General features: G+C 42.0%; 1 protein-coding gene across 2 annotated transcripts in view, besides 5 other annotated features; it reads left to right on the top strand.

Moving 5' to 3' along the window:
• Window positions 14,017–14,723: an enhancer, noted in NCBI's record as "OCT4-H3K27ac hESC enhancer chr12:77459297-77460003 (GRCh37/hg19 assembly coordinates)". NCBI's record gives its function as "activates a minimal SCP1, AML or CMV promoter by ChIP-STARR-seq in naive H9 embryonic stem cells {active_cell/tissue: H9 hESC(naive)}" and the evidence as "EXISTENCE:reporter gene assay evidence [ECO:0000049][PMID:30033119]".
• Window positions 14,017–14,761: a biological region, named in NCBI's record as "OCT4-H3K27ac hESC enhancer GRCh37_chr12:77459297-77460003".
• Window positions 14,052–14,281: an enhancer, noted in NCBI's record as "active region_6684". NCBI's record gives its function as "activates an Ori minimal core promoter by ATAC-STARR-seq in GM12878 lymphoblastoid cells {active_cell/tissue: GM12878}" and the evidence as "EXISTENCE:reporter gene assay evidence [ECO:0000049][PMID:35858748]".
• Window positions 14,332–14,761: a silencer, noted in NCBI's record as "silent region_4677". NCBI's record gives its function as "represses an Ori minimal core promoter by ATAC-STARR-seq in GM12878 lymphoblastoid cells {active_cell/tissue: GM12878}" and the evidence as "EXISTENCE:reporter gene assay evidence [ECO:0000049][PMID:35858748]".
• The window catches only part of E2F7 (E2F transcription factor 7), a 44,319-nt gene continuing 43,397 nt past the window's right edge, over window positions 14,671–15,592 (top strand). For both annotated transcript variants that reach the window (XM_011537966.3, NM_203394.3), the window contains exon 1: window positions 14,671–14,895. The gene's annotated coding sequence lies outside the window, so the exon portion shown is untranslated. The remainder of the gene's footprint in view (window positions 14,896–15,592) is intronic.
• Window positions 14,782–14,831: a silencer, noted in NCBI's record as "silent region_4676". NCBI's record gives its function as "represses an Ori minimal core promoter by ATAC-STARR-seq in GM12878 lymphoblastoid cells {active_cell/tissue: GM12878}" and the evidence as "EXISTENCE:reporter gene assay evidence [ECO:0000049][PMID:35858748]".

Raw genomic sequence — 15,592 nt, 5'->3', positions numbered from 1 at the left:
TGGTTTAGCAGGTCAATAAGGGTCATCATCTTTGGGTTGGCATACAGTCCTTGAGTGTCTCATACATGGCAGCACAGTTCCAGGCACTGGACACACAGCACTGAATATACAGACAAAAAAAGGATGACTTCATAGATGTTATACGTATAAAAAGAAAGACAGAAAATGAAAACATAAACAAAGTATGCAATGTGCCAAATACTGAAAGCATTCTAGAGAAAGACAAAACAGACAAAGTAGATAGGGAATGCTGAGAGTGAGCGCTCAGGATAGTTGTAGCGGTCAGAGAAGACTTCACAGAGGAGGTGATGTTTGAGCAAAGACCTTGTGGTAGATAGAACTAGCTGTCCACAAAAATTTATGCTCCCCTGCTTAGCGCAGAATTATTGCTAAGAGCTGGCCTCTGAGCCAAGACTGCATTTCCCAGCCCTTCTTGCATGTAGACATAGCTATGTAACTAATTATCACCAATGGAATTTGAACAGAAGTGCCTTATCTTACCTCCAGACTGGAGCTTTAATGAATTAGGTGTGCCTTCTCTCCTCTCTCTTTACCCTTCTGCCAGCTGAAACAGAAGACTCTGAGGCTTCAGAACAGTTCTATCTGGCAGAAATATAAAGTGAGCCATATATGTTCTTCTGTATTTTCTGTATGAGTAAAAAGAAACACATGAAATTCATTTTAACAATACATTTTCCAAGCACAATATTTCTAAATATTATTTCAGTATGTATTCAACATGAAAAATATTGGAGATAATTTCTATTCTCTTTTTCAAAATCCACTATGTACCTTACACTTAGAGTACATTTCAATAGCTACCAGCCACTTTCCAAGAACTCAGTAGCCACATGTGGCACCATATTAGTGCAGGTCTAGAACACCGTACAGCAATGAGATTAAAGGGGGCAGGTCCCTGATGGAGGACAGCCACCGTCAACCAGGAACAACCACATTGCATTATTACATGAGTGAGAAGTAAACTTTTTTACATTAAGCTTCCAAAATGTTGAGGTCTGCTGGTTGCAGAAATTGATTTCTTGAAGTGGTATATTTAAAACTCAAAACTAAAACATAAGGCATTGTTTTAGCAGTCAGTTAACAGGTGGTTCTAAATAGACATTAGAATCTGGAAAGCAGAGAGCTGTGTTAAAATGAATTTCACAGTTTTACTATGGACACTTGAAAGACAGAACAAGTACCTAGTGATGCTGTAGCATTAGAGTAAGTGCTTTGAAAGGCAGAATGTCAGCCAGGCGCAGTGGCTCATGCCTGTAATCCCAGTACTTTGGGAGGCCAAGGTGGGTGGATCACTTGAGGTCAGGAGTTCAAGACCAGCCTGGCCAACATGGTGAAACCCCGTCTCTACTACAAATACAAAAATTAGCCAGGTGTGGTGGCGGGCACCTGTAGTCCCAGCTACGCGGGAGGCCAAGGCATGAGAATCACTCGAACCTGGGAAGCAGAGGTTGCAGTGAGCCAAGATTGCGCCACTGCACTTCATCTTGGGTGATAGAGTGAGACTCAGTTTCAGGGAATAAAAAAATAAATAAAATAAAAAAGAATGTCATTAGATTCTGTATTAGTCTGCTATGGCTGCCATAACAAAATACCACAGATTGGGTGGTTTTAACAACAGAAATTTATTTTCTCAGAGTTGTGAAGGCCAAAAGTCTAAGAGCAACATGCCAGCAGGATTGGCTCTGGTGAGGCCTTTCTCCTTGGCTTGCAGATGGCCACCTGCTCACTGTGGTCTCACACCTCCTTTTCTCTGTGCATGCACACTCCTAGGCATCTTCCTCTTCTGATAAGGACACCAGTCCTATTTGATTAGGGCCCCACCCTTGTGACCTCCTGCAACTTTAGTTACTTCCTTAAAGTCCCTATCTCTACATACAGTACATTGGAGGTTAGGGCTTCAACATATGAATTTTGGAGGGCATAACTAAGGCCATAAAATATGCTGAATGCTCCTTTCTGCAGTGAACAAGTGTTATAAGAAAGAAATGTGATCAGGAAACAATTGGCTGGTTTGCAAGCAGAAATAAAGGATAAAAAGAATCTAGAAATCAAGATGAGTTTAGGGTCTTGCAGATTTGGAAAACTGACTGCTTCTAGACACCAAGCAGTAGGCCATAGGACCTAAAATGCATTCAGCCAAAACGCTCTTGAGTTGTCTTGGTTCAGCAGAGGTTTGCAAGGTTGAAGCAGACACATCATAGTAACTCAATTCTTTTACTACCAACACTGCTTCTTCAAGGAGCTTCAAGTTAACTGCATTAAATTAAGAGAGAAAAGTGTAGGGACAAGCAAATACAAGGAAAGAAACAGAGCAGTCTTTAAGCATCATTTCTGGGAAAGAACTTTGGATATGGTTACTGTCACACTGAACTGAATGGAAATCAAGGGAATCGTGTTTCCCAAAAATTCACAGAAACAGTAAACTCTGTCTTGAACACCTGTGGCTGTAAAAATTTCCCCAGGATTTCAAATATCTACCAGTAAGAAGCAGGTGTGAAAGCTGTGCAAGCTCCAAGGAAGTCATGTTCCTTGATGCCAATCTCAGATACTGCCAGGAAGTATAATGGACAAACAAAGAACATCACAGAGAGCACAGGTGAGGAACATAGAGAACAGGGAAAAGGAAGTTCCTCCTACAAAGCAGGACCATGCTCTAATGAAGAAATCTGCTCTATCCAAGGGCAGAGAGACTTCATAATGTCTACCCAGTTGGATTTCTCATGGCTATGGACCAGTTGCTGCCATAGGTCTTCCAGTCTTCCCCTGTCCAAATAAGAGTTTTTATTTTAGTTATCTTGTTCTGGGTCCATATTTGCTGTATTAGATTGGTGGATGCAGAAAGTGGAAAATAAAATGTGTCTTTAAATTCATAGATCTCTGAACCAAAGGAGCCACATTAGCCGGAGTTGCTGGACTTTGTCGTAGCTGGAACTTTGTCTCCTTTAGGGAAGGGGCCACACAGATATTTGGTGGCCAGAGGGTAGTTTGTAGCAGCAATGGCTAGCTGCCCCATGAGTTCTTTCTCTCTATGCATAGTATTAGTTTCTTGCTGGAATGTGCTGCAGAGCCAGTGACTACAATCACAGCTCCATTTGAATCCAGAGTGGCCATGTGACTGGTTGTTCTTTCAAGAGGATGTGAGTAGAGTGATGTATGCTTTATATACTGTCTTTTTTCCTCTTGTTCGAGCTGGACTTAGGGGCCTGTGTAAAGACACTGCAAAGCACAAGGTGGAAGAAGCCTGGGTCCTAGAGTCACCACATACAGGAAAACCACCTGCTATCCAGGAACATCATTATTAGACCATTGCATGGATGAGAGATAAACTTCTGTTTTGTTAAGCCACTGAAATTTTGAGGTTTTCTTGGTATAGAATCTAGCATTACCTTAATGAATATGCTTCTGAAAGAAAAGGAAAGAGCTATGCAGCCCTTGATGAAATACTGGATGGAAAGTATTCCAGGCAGGGAGAACATGCATGTAAATGCATATTCCTGGAGCAGAAGAATAACAAGTGTTTCCAAGGACCCACAAAGAGCCAAGTGTGGCTGAAGCAAAGAAAACAAAGGGAATAACTGAAGGTGATAAGATGAGAGCAGTAAAAAGAAGACAAATCCTTATGGCCTCTCAAGCCACTGGGAGGACTTCGGCTCTTATTTTGAATGAGTTGGAGAAATGAGAGTGTTTGCAGCAGAGAGGGGACACAACCTGATATTTTAATTGGATTCCTGTAGCTGCTGTTGAGGAACAAGTTACAGAGGGACAACATGCAGGGAGATCAGTTTTGAGACTATTAAAATGATCCATGGGAGAGATGAAGGGGGTTTAAAATTGGGTGGTTGCGTGGGAGGAGATAAGCAGTATTCGAATTCTGAATATAGCTTTAAGGTAACCCCTTGTCTGTAATTCAGGCATAAATGCTACTTACGCTCTGGCTGGCTCAAGTCAGAGAACTATATACGCATTGAGAGCAGAAACTGGCTCCCAGCACCTCATAAAGTGCCTGGTGTCTTCTGTACCGAAAGGGTTCTGCCAATGCATAATAGTGTTATTGTTTCATTACAAGTATTAATAATTAATGTGCAAAGAGTAAATAAAACTAGCTGAAGGATTTATGAATGCTTTCTGAGTTACCTAGGTCATAAATACTTTTCATTGAGATTGAATGCTATTAATATATATTCATCTCGGTGCCATCTTTCAGGTTAACCATGAGATTGCCATTGGCCTGAGGGACAAGATTGTTTTGGATTCTTTCAAAGAGCCAACTATGATTATTTCAAAACAAGCAAACAAACAAAAATATTAGGCTACCTGTATTACCCAGGGTTTTCCAGAGAAACAGAACCAATAGGGTGTATATACGGAAAGACATTTATTCTGAGGAATTGGCTCATGTGATCTATGGCACTCTGGCAAGTCCAAAATCTGATGAAGGAGGCTGGCAGACTGAAAATTTAGGGAAGAGTTACACTTTGAGTCCAAAGGCAGTCTATTGTATGAACCAAGAAGAACAGAGGTTGCAGATGATGTCAGAAGGCAGAATTGACTCTTGCTCCAGGAAGGTCATCATTTTGTTCTTGTTCAGCCTTCAGTGATGGGATGAGGACCACTCAGATTATGAAGGGCAATCTGCTTTACTCAAAGTCCACCAATTTAAATGTAAATCTCAACCAAAGCTCCCATCTTTGTCCATTTTCTGCTGCTATAACAGAATACCTAAGAGGGAATAACTTACAAAGACAATTTTTTTTCTCTTTTTTTGGCTCAGTTTTAGAGGATGGGAAGTAGAGGATCAAGGGACTACATCTGGTGAGGGCCTTATTGCTGCATCATAATGGGCAGAAGTCATCACACAGAGAGCGAGTAAGGGAGAGAGAGAAAATTGAGCTGAACCTTTCTATCAGGAACACACTCCAGAGATAACTGACCCACTCCCAAGATAATGGCATTAATCCAGTCCTCATGGCCATTAATCTTCGTGGCCTAATCGCTTCATCTTAAAGCCCCATTTTTTAGCACTCTTACAATGGTGATTAAATTTTTTGAAAAATTTTTGTATTAACACTCCTACTGTTCTAAGGCAATTAAATTTCAATATGAGTTTGGGAGGAGACATCCAAACCATAGCAGTATCTTTATAGAAACTTCTAGAACAATGTTTGGCCAAATATCTGGACATCATGGCCCATACAAATTGACATATAAAATTAACTATCAGACTACCACTTTAATTAGAAAACTTCAAGATGTCCTTTTAACAGCTCTTAAATTCAGTGAATCTTGCCTCTTATCAGCCTCACAGACTCTATGGTGATTTCCTTTCTTCACTGTGTAATTGCATATTTAATGAAAAAATCATTAGATAATGGTGAAAGCCCAATTATTTTCTTACTATTGTAAAAATGTTAATTCATCTCTTGCTTTTTAAAAAAAAATTAGCCATATAGTTATAACATGTGGTATCTCATATTGGCAAAATTGTCTGCTTTCCTCTCTTTAAAATATGTTGTCAAATGCTTCATATGACCTTATAATTTTTTACTCCTTTAAAAGAGTCAATGGAGAAGAAAAGAAAATTGTCTACATAACTGTATTATTTTTCAACTAACTATTTTGCTTGGTTTATGTTGACAGAGACTAAGGTAGAATCTTCTTGATATTTTTAAATATTAAAAAAAAATAGGCCAGGCAATGTACCTCATGCCTATAATCCCAGCACTTTGGGAGGTAGGATGATTGCATGACACCAGAAGTTTAAGACCATTCTGGGCAACATAATGAGACTTCATCTCTACAAAAAATTAAAAAATGAGCTGGGCATAGTGGCATGCACCTGTAGTCTCAGCTACATGGGACACTAAGGTGGTAGGATTGCTTGAGCACAGGAGTTCAAGATTACAGTGAGCTATGATATGGCCACTGCCACCATCATAGAGGGTGGGCAACAGAGTGAGACCTTGTATTAGTCTGTTTTCATGCTGCTGATAAAGACATACCTGAGACTAGGCAATTTACAAAAGAAGGAGGTCTAATGGACTTACAATTCCATGTGTCTGGGGAGGCATCACAATCATGGTGGAAGGCAAAGGGAGCAAGTCACGTCTTACATGGATGGCAGCAGGCAAAAAGAGAGCTTGAGCAGGGAAACTCCCACTTTTAAAACCATCAGATCTCATGAGACTCATTCACTATCACGAGAACAACGCAGGAAAGACCCGCTCCCATAATTCAATCACTTCCCAACAGGTTCCTCCCATGACACGTGGGAATTGTGAGAGTTACAATTCAAGCTGAGATTTGGGTGGGGACATAGCCAAACCACATCAGACTCTGTCTCTAAAAAAAATAATAATAATATGGCCAGGTGCGGTGGTTCATGCCTATAATCCCAGCACTTTGGGAGGTGGAGGTGGGTGGATCACGAGGTCAAGAGATGGAGACCATCCTGGCCAACATGGTGAAACCCTGTCTCTACTAAAAATACAAAAATTAGTTGGGCATGGTGGCGCGCACCTGTAGTCCCAACTACTCGGGAGGCTGAGGCAGAAGAATCGCTTGAACCCAGGAGGCAGAGGTTGCAGTAAGCCGAGATCGTGCCACTGCACTCCAGCCTGGTGACAGAGTGAGACTCTGTCTCAAATAATAATAATAATAATAAAATAAAAAATAAAATAATAAATAAATAAATAAAATCACAAGATTACCAAAAAAATTAGAGAAAAGAACAAAAACAAACTACCCTAAAAGGATACTCTAGCATTATGTCATTGTAATTGCAAACATCAATAAAATATTTAATAATCATCAGAAAAGTAAAGAAATCAGTAAAATGGAAAAAGAAATTCCTAGTGCAAATTTCAGCAAGCTTAAGAAAATAGCAGAAGTGGCCACATGGGAACATTATTAAACAATGAGACATCCAGTAAAACCGAATGCGATAACAGGAAGAGATCCTCCTTGAGTCAAAACAATAGGAAGAATTTAACTTCATCAGCTAAATAAATAGAAATTAGACATACAGAAAAAAAGAATATTAGACCAGCTTAATAAACAGATGTAGGCCTAAGAGGGAAGAAATAAATGCAACAAAATATTAGATATCAGAGATGTGCTGGCCTGATATGACTTTGCAGACAGTGTGAGGGTTTGAGAGGGCGGTCAGTGCCATCTTCCACACTCTGCAGAACCAGTAGCAGCAGGAGCCCCAGTCTTAGACACAGCAAAGACCCAGACTGATGGCAGTAGCAGCAGCTGGCTCCCTTGATGGAGGATACAGAGCTCCCTGCCCTTCTGAGTGATGACAGCTTAGTTAGCAGGAAGGAGTTGTGCTACCTGGAGATGCCTGATGTCATGCATCAGCAGTGGGGCAGAAAGAAGCCAACACATGTCAGTGGAGTCCTGGGGTGTCACAGAGGCTGAAAGAACTTCTACAAGAGTATGGATGATTGAGGACTCCCAAAATTTACTGGGAAGGCAGGGTGAGTCTTTGAACAAGATTAGAGATTTCAGTACTATATATAAGATGTTACAGAGAAAACATTGTTTCCTACTTTAAAGTTAACCCCCAGGTATGTTTTGAGTAAAGATGTCTTATGTGCTACATAGATGATGTTGGTTAAATGATTACTCTTTCCAGGAAGTTTGTATTTTAACATTGATTTTGTGCAGACAATACTTTAACCTTTGTCCATTAATATTTCCCTCGGATTGTTTAGTGAAGAGATGGTGGGTTCAATATCCCACATCTCTAGTTTTTTCAAGGTAGAAAGCTCTACATCCGATGAGGTGGCTCTAGGTTAGAAAAATGCATTCATTGTATTTGAACTTAAGTTTTCAGTCCCTGAGCTGCTAACCCCAAACTCCTCTCTCCATCACCCCTTACTCCAAACTCCTCTTTCCACTGCAAACTGAAAAAATTCTCATTTCATCCTACAACGTATCATAATAAACAAATGCTAGCGGTGGCTCACGCCTGTAATACCAGCACTTTGGGAGGCCAAGGTGGGCAGATCACAAGGTCAGGAGTTCAAGGCCAGCCTGGCCAAGATGGTGAAACCCCGTCTCTACTAAAAATACAAAAAAAAAGAGTAGCCAAGCATGGTGGTGGGTGCCTGTAATACCAGCTACTCGGGAGGCTGAGGCAGAGAATTGCTTGAACCCGGCAGGCAGAGGTTGCAGTGAGCCGAGATCGCACCACTGCAGTCCAGCCTAGGCAACAGAGCAAGACTCCATCTCAAAAAAAAAAAAAAAAATGCTATTAAAATAATGCTATTTGGTAGGTATTAAAAGTTACCTTCAGCCATTTAATTCTAAGCTTCTAAAAATGAAGGTCACAAAGGTCACTTTGGCCCAATATTTAACATTCTCATTATTAATGTATAAATGTACACAATGTAATTTAGTGAGAATGTGTTCAGTTTCACCAAACATGAAAATAAGAAAGTGGTTTTAGCAATATTCTTACATTTCCACACCGAGTGATTAGGAGTCAATAGCAAATCATTTTAAGGGATATACTAAGTATCCAAGTAAGTATTATAATAAAACTTAATATTTAAATATTAAGAATAATTAAGTATTAAGCATTAAATATTAAGAATTCACAGGTTCTACAGAGGTCTTCCAAGTCAGCCCATCACTTCACAGAGAAAACTAAGGCCTATATAGGGAACATGCTTTGTTCTAGGTACCCAGGAAGTTCATTCTCAAGGTTGACCTAGAATCTATGTCCCTCTACTCCTCAAAGTGAATTCCTTCCCGTCTGGATAAGACTTTGGTGATTAGAGGGAAGCTTGTGTTCCCCATTTTCTCCAGAATCTCACTTCCAGGGCAGTAGTCCATCCCATTTTTATTGCACCAATGGGTGCACTGTGTTGCCTCCAAATAACCTTGCCCAAACCTGCAGCATAAATGCAGCATTATGTAAAGGAGTGGTCCATTATACACTCATCATTCTCATACTTTTCCCAGAAACACCCAACTTAAAATTCACCCAGTCCACTGTGATCTGGAATGTTTGCTTTAACACAACTTCCTCCCCGGCCTCTGCCTTCAGCATGGACACACAAATACACACATACACACATATGCATACCAAATACACTATATGCATTCAGCGAGGATGCAAATCACGTGACTATTTTAAGAACACCGACCTTGCTCCATAGTGCTAACGATCACAAGGAGTCTAAAACTTAAAGAATGAATTCCCTCCATTCCTTATGGGACATTTGATCACAGCTGAGGCACCTCCCTTTAAATAGCTGGACATCTGGATGTCATTTGAGATGGGAGCCACAAATGCCCTTTGGCCTTATTTTCTTTTATTGTGGCTAAGGTCATGAGCAGGAACCAATCACTTTGGTTTCTCATATTCTCCTCACATTGCTTATAGTTGCTCCAAGAATAGATTTTTTTGCCTTCTCTGAAGTTGTTATCAAATAGAGAAGCAAATGCATCACATTCTCAGACCCACAAATGGCTGAAGACTAAAGTGCATTTTAAATGGCAAGACTCAGTTTAAGAACTGTTGAACAGGTCCATGCAAAGAAACTTGACAACTGCCACGATGTGAAGTCAAGATCCCTGTTACCTTTGTGGTGAAAAATCAGTTACCAATTCCTTTCTGTGGCTGCTCTTTTGAGAACAGATGTCACACCAAGATGACTGCACTTGCAGTAGTGGGAGAAAAGGAAAGTATGTGAGGAGGCTGATACTTTAACCGAACAACTCACACTATCTTGCCCTAGAGCTGACTGACATGAATTGTACTTTTACTACGGTATATTCTTTCTGTAAAATGTGATAAATCTCTTTTTTTCTGTAAAGTGTGATTAATCTTGGGATGTGAAACCCCAAAAGGGTAAAAGACTATTCACAGGTTTGAGAAGTGGTGGAGATTTTTGCAGAGAGGAATGTCAGACATAATCTGTATATACATCCTTCTGAGCACAGCCTTTGTTACTCACTCTTCTGTTACAGCTCCACCCTGCTCATCAGATTCCTCATTTACAGCCTCAACTCCTTCCAAAAACCAGTGACATTGCCACAAACCAGCGAGATGCAGCCCCTTTAAACCTCTGTGCCTACTCTGGAGGGCAGCACACCTGTCCGGCTCTTCCTGTCCTCATTGATGGGACGTGAGGATCCATTTCTGAAATCACTGAGTCAGAAGCATCCAAAAGAATCAATGAAAGAAGAGTACAACTAGCAAGATGCTAAGGAACAACACACTAAGCACTTAAAAAATACTTGATACCCAAGGGCCAATTCCAGATCAAGTAAATTAGAAATCTCTAGGTGTGGGGTTCAGCTGCTGGTATTTTTTTAAATCTCCCCCAGATGACTATAAAGAATAGACAAGGTTGAGAACTACAAGATTAGCACAATACAGAAATGTAGGGAGAGCTGCCATGTAGGTAACACTATACTGTTTCAAAGTCAATGATGTCTCAGGCAGAAATTATTGAGGTAGAGTCATAGGATACTCCAATTGGCACAAAACCTGGTGCGGTAGTTTTAAAATATGTTGAAGAGAAAAACAAACAACCCCATCAAAAAGTGGGCAAAGGATATGAACAGACACTTCTCAAAAGAAGACATTTATGCAGCCAACAGACATATGAAAAAATGCTCCTCATCACTGGTCATTAGATAAATGCAAATAAAAACCATAATGAGATACCATCTCATGCCAGTTAGAATGGTGATCATTAAAAAGTCAGGAAACAACAGATGCTGGTGAGGATGTGGAGAAATAGGAATGCTTTTACACTGTTGGTGGGAGTGTAAATTAGTTCAACCATTGTAGAAGACAGTGTGGCAATTCCTCAAGGATCTAGAACCAGAAATACCATTTGACCCAGCAATCCCATTACTGGGGTATATACCCAAAGGATTATAAATCATTCTACTATGGAGACACATGAAGAGGTTTATTGCAGCACTGTTCACAATAGCAGAGACTTGGAACCAACCCAAATACCCATCAGTGATAGACTGGATAAAGAAAATGTGGCACTTATACACCTTGGAATACTATGGAGCCATAAAAAAGGATGAGTTCATGTCCTTTGCCAGGACATGGATGAAGCTGGCAATCATCATTCTCAGCAAACTAATACAAGAACAGAAAACCAAACACCACATGTTCTCACTAACGAATGGGAGTTGAACAATGAAAACACATGGACACAGGGAGGGGAACATCACATGCCAGGGCCTGTCATGGGGTAGGGGGCAAGGGGAGGGGTAGGGGTAGCAAGGGGAGGGGTAGCTTTAGGAGAAATAGCTAATGTAGATGACCGGTTGATGGGTGCAGCAAACCACCATGCCATGGCACGTGTATACCTATGTAACAAACCTGCATGTTCTGCACATGTATCCCAGAACTTATTTTTATATATATATATATATATATATATATACACACACACACACACACACACACACACACACATATATATATATATATAGAGAGAGAGAGAGAGAGAGAAATATGGCCCCAAATTCTTTGACACTTCTCCCATTGAGAGTGAGGTATATGTCTTCTCCCCTTGAATGTGGATGGATTTTTGACTGTTTCCTCCCAAAAACTGTAGTGGAATTGATGCTATCAGTTCTTAGGCTACGTCACAAAAGGTGATACTATTTCCACTTTGCTACATGACACATTCATTTTGGATCCCAGGAGCCACCCTGGAAGAAGTCCAACTACCTTGAGCTACCAGGATATCTAGACCAGGCCATATGGAGAGGTCACATGTCGAGACTCTTCTTGATACTCCAGCCTAGTTCCCAGCCAACATCAGTGTCAACTGAATTACCGAGAGATTAACAGGTTATGTATGCATTCTGGGACTTAAAAACATCAATATAAATAAGTGTGTTGGAATAATGTCTCTGAATTTGTCCATCAAACATTTATTTTTCAGTTTTCCTCCAAATCTAAGATAACTCTTATAATCAATGAAATTATAAGTGCCTGAAGTGATGTATCCAACTGAGTTTTTTTTGTAACTTGAATAGAAATTACATTTGTATCAAAATAGAAAAAGTACTTTTACTCTAAAAATGTTAGGAAAAGCCCTGTACCGTGAAACTGTCTAACCTCAAAGAAACGATCATTAGTATTTTGAAATATCAGAGAAATGAATGGACTTTAATAATTTGAATGTTGGTCTAGAAGGCTGAATGGTGGGCCCCAAAAAGGTGTATCCATGTCCTAATCCCCAGAACCCATGAAGGAATGTTACTCTGGAAAGAGGATCTTCCCAGATGCAATTAAATTGAAGATCTCAAGATGAGATCATCCTGGACTATCCAGGTGGGACCTAAATTCATTGACAGGTGTCCTCATAGGAGACACACAGGAGAGACTTAACAGACAAAAGAGAAAGCAACGTAACTATGGAGGTAGAAATTGGAGTGAGGCTGCCACGTGTCAAGGACTGTTAACAGCCACCAGAAACTGGAAGAGGAAAAGGACAAGAGCCCCAGAGGGAGTGTGGCCCTGGGAATACCTTAACTTTCCAGAACTGTGAGAGACTAAATCTCTGTCCTTATAAGCCAGTTGTAATTTGTTACAACAGCCATAGAAAATGAATACTGTTGGGAAAAGTATTTCCTTATCTAAACTTCTGCTTCCACATATGTGCAAAATTTAATAAGTTGCAATTTTTTATTGTTTAAACTTCTCATTAGGTTTCTACCTACAAAAGAGATTTCAGTTCAAAATGTTATTCCTATAAAAAATGTCAGATTTTTATTACTATTTTCTTTTGTTTAATGTTTTGCATACTTTTCTCTTTTCAATGTATGACCTAGCAGTGATTTTTTTTTTTTTAGGCCGTATTTACCAGCAATCTAGAGTACGAAGTGAAGGACTTGATTGAGCATTCTGAATTCTGCTGAGAGTTCATTTAAAATATATGTATTTGAGGCCGGGCACGGTGTCTCACACCTGTAATCCCAGCACTTTGGGAGGCCAAGGCAGGCAGGCAGATCACCTGAGGTTAGGAGTTCGAGACCAACCTGGCCAACACAGCAAAACCCCATCTCTACTAAAAATACAAAAATTAGCTGGGCGTGGTGGCGCACGGCTGTAGTCCCAGCTACTCGGGAGGCTGGGGCAGAGAATCGCTTGAACCCAGGAGGTGGAGGTTTCAGTGAGCCGAGATTGGGCCACTACACTCTAGCCTGGGTGACAGTGCAAGACTCCGTCTCCAAAAATAAAATAAAATAAAAATATTTGGAGGGTAAGTGGTGAAGAATGGAGTCTTGGTATAGAAAGGAAAATGATACCTTTGCTGTAAAGTAGATGGGGGGTAGGGACATGTCTGTACATTTAAGAATGTCTGATGCTTTAAGAAGGCTGTCTCACATTTCAGTTGAGGGATATCTTACAAAATACTTGACCAATACTACTCAAAAATGTCCAGGTATCAAAAATGAGGAAAGTATGAGAAACTGTCATAGCCAAGAGGAGCCTAGAGACATAGGAACTAAAGGTAATGTGGTATCCTGAACAGAAAAAAGGGCCATTAGGAAAAAATTAAGTAAATCTGAATAAAGTAATGACTTGAGCTCAGAAGAATGTACCAATATTAGATCATTAATTTCAAAAAATATTCTATACTAACACAAAATGTTAATAGTGGGTGAAATTGGGTGCTGAATATATGGGAATTCTTGGTACTATCTCAATTTTTCTGTAAATTGAAAACTTCTAAACAATAAAGTCTGTTTTGTAAAAAGTCCATCTCTACCAACATTCATATTTTAAACAAGAAACTGTAGGATGAAAGAAGTGAAACATTTAATACAGATCAGTGGTGTTGAGGAAATTTTCTAGACTGTCTCCCAGAATGCTAGTCCCTATTGCAAAGAACTACTTTTTTATATAAAGCTTTTTCCCTCCTAATTATTTGCAATTTGCCGAAAAGGGAACACCAAAAAACATTTCCGGATTTGCCACACACACAAAACAAACAAACAAAAAAAAGTTAGAAAAACTTCTGGTTTGGCTTCCAGTCTTGTCTCCAGGGCTAACTGGCGTGCCATCTGCTCGCAGCAGAGCGGTAACCATGGTTCATGTGTCACACCAGCGTGCGATGTTAAGAAGTTTGCCCCGGCAAGTCTGGACAACTCCGCTTCCGCACAGGTTGCTGAGGGCGGGCGGGGATGGCGGCAGCAGCATCCAGAGGGTGTAGATCGTTCTTCCAAACCCCATCTGCTTTCCTGTCCTCTGGCTGTGCCCGGGGTCCCCGGGCGCGGCAAGCCGCGGGGACGTGCGCGGGTCTTCTATGCATAACAAAAGAGCCCTCCTCCTCCTCTTCCTTCTCCCGCCGCCCCGCGCCGCCCCGCGCCGCCCCCACCTTGGCTTCCCGCGGCCGCCGGGGCCCGCGTCCCCAGCAGGAATTGGCTCCCGGGCCCGAGGTTTCCAGGTACCCGGAAGGGGGAGGGGGCCGAGGCGGCAACAATTGGGCGGGTGAGGGCAAAACGCGCGGCTCGGAGCGCCAAGACTCCGAGGGGCGGTGAGCCCGGGCCGTGCCGCCGCACGATTGGCCGGGGCCGCCCCGCCGGCCGCCGCTGATTGGTGGATTCTCAAATTCGGTCTCAAGGCGCCAGAGGAGGTGTTTTAGCGGGGACTACGATCCAGGCTGGAGTTGCGCTCGGCCGGTCTGAGCGCTGGCGCTGCCCGGACGCCGCGGGGTCCCCGCCAGCCCAGGGCACTCGGCGCGGGGATCTGCGCGCCTCGCTCTCCCTTCCCGATGCCGCCGCCCGGCTGCTGATCGCCGCACCACCTTCCCTCATCGGCTTGGGTCCGTGGAGGTCCCTGCAGAGGCAGGAAGCCTCCTTAGGAAAGCAGGGGTAAGCGTGCGGCCCCAGCGCCAGTGGGGAGGCGGGAATTGGGATACAGGGCCCACTCCCGCCCCGGCTGCCAGCCTGCCACTCCTCACGTCCCCCGGCTGGCGAGGGCTCGAGGTGTTTCTGCCGGGGAACCCGGTGCGCAGAGGGTGTGCCGGGTGCAGCTCTCACTCCGGCCCGGCAGTAGAGGGGATTTGCCCTTCCCCACAACTTGGAGCTTTCATTGGAGAAGTTTATTTGGGGGATCTGCTTGGAGGCCTGGGAAGGGGCTGCGCTCAGCGCTGAGTGGGTTTGGTCTAGCGATCGGGTTTCCTTCCCCCGATTCAAAACCCCTCAAAGCCGAATTCCTCTCAGTTCTTTGCGCCAAAATTAACTGACCTGGGAGACCCTGTACTTTTCTGACAGATTTGCCCAACACCCTTCCGACTTGGTAACTTTATTTTGCCATCTAGCTTTTCATAAGGAGTTACTATTTTTGTAGATTTTTTTCTTCCCAGATTTTCAGTATTACTAAGCACACTTTAGGTGTTTGAGTTTGTTCGCGTGAGTTTTAGAAAGTTGAGGGTGGCTACAACTCCTGGAAATGCCCAGGATGTGCTTAGAGAAGGGGGAATTTCATATTGACAAACAAGTAACACATATGTAGATATTTTTGTTTGAGGAAAAAATACCTAATTGCAAAATCATTTTCTAGTGTAAT

This window comes from Homo sapiens, chromosome 12 (assembly GCF_000001405.40).
Source record: "Homo sapiens chromosome 12, GRCh38.p14 Primary Assembly".
NCBI lineage: Eukaryota > Metazoa > Chordata > Mammalia > Primates > Hominidae > Homo > Homo sapiens.
Note: the sequence above shows the minus strand (reverse complement) of the source record. Positions and strands in the feature narration are given on the sequence as shown.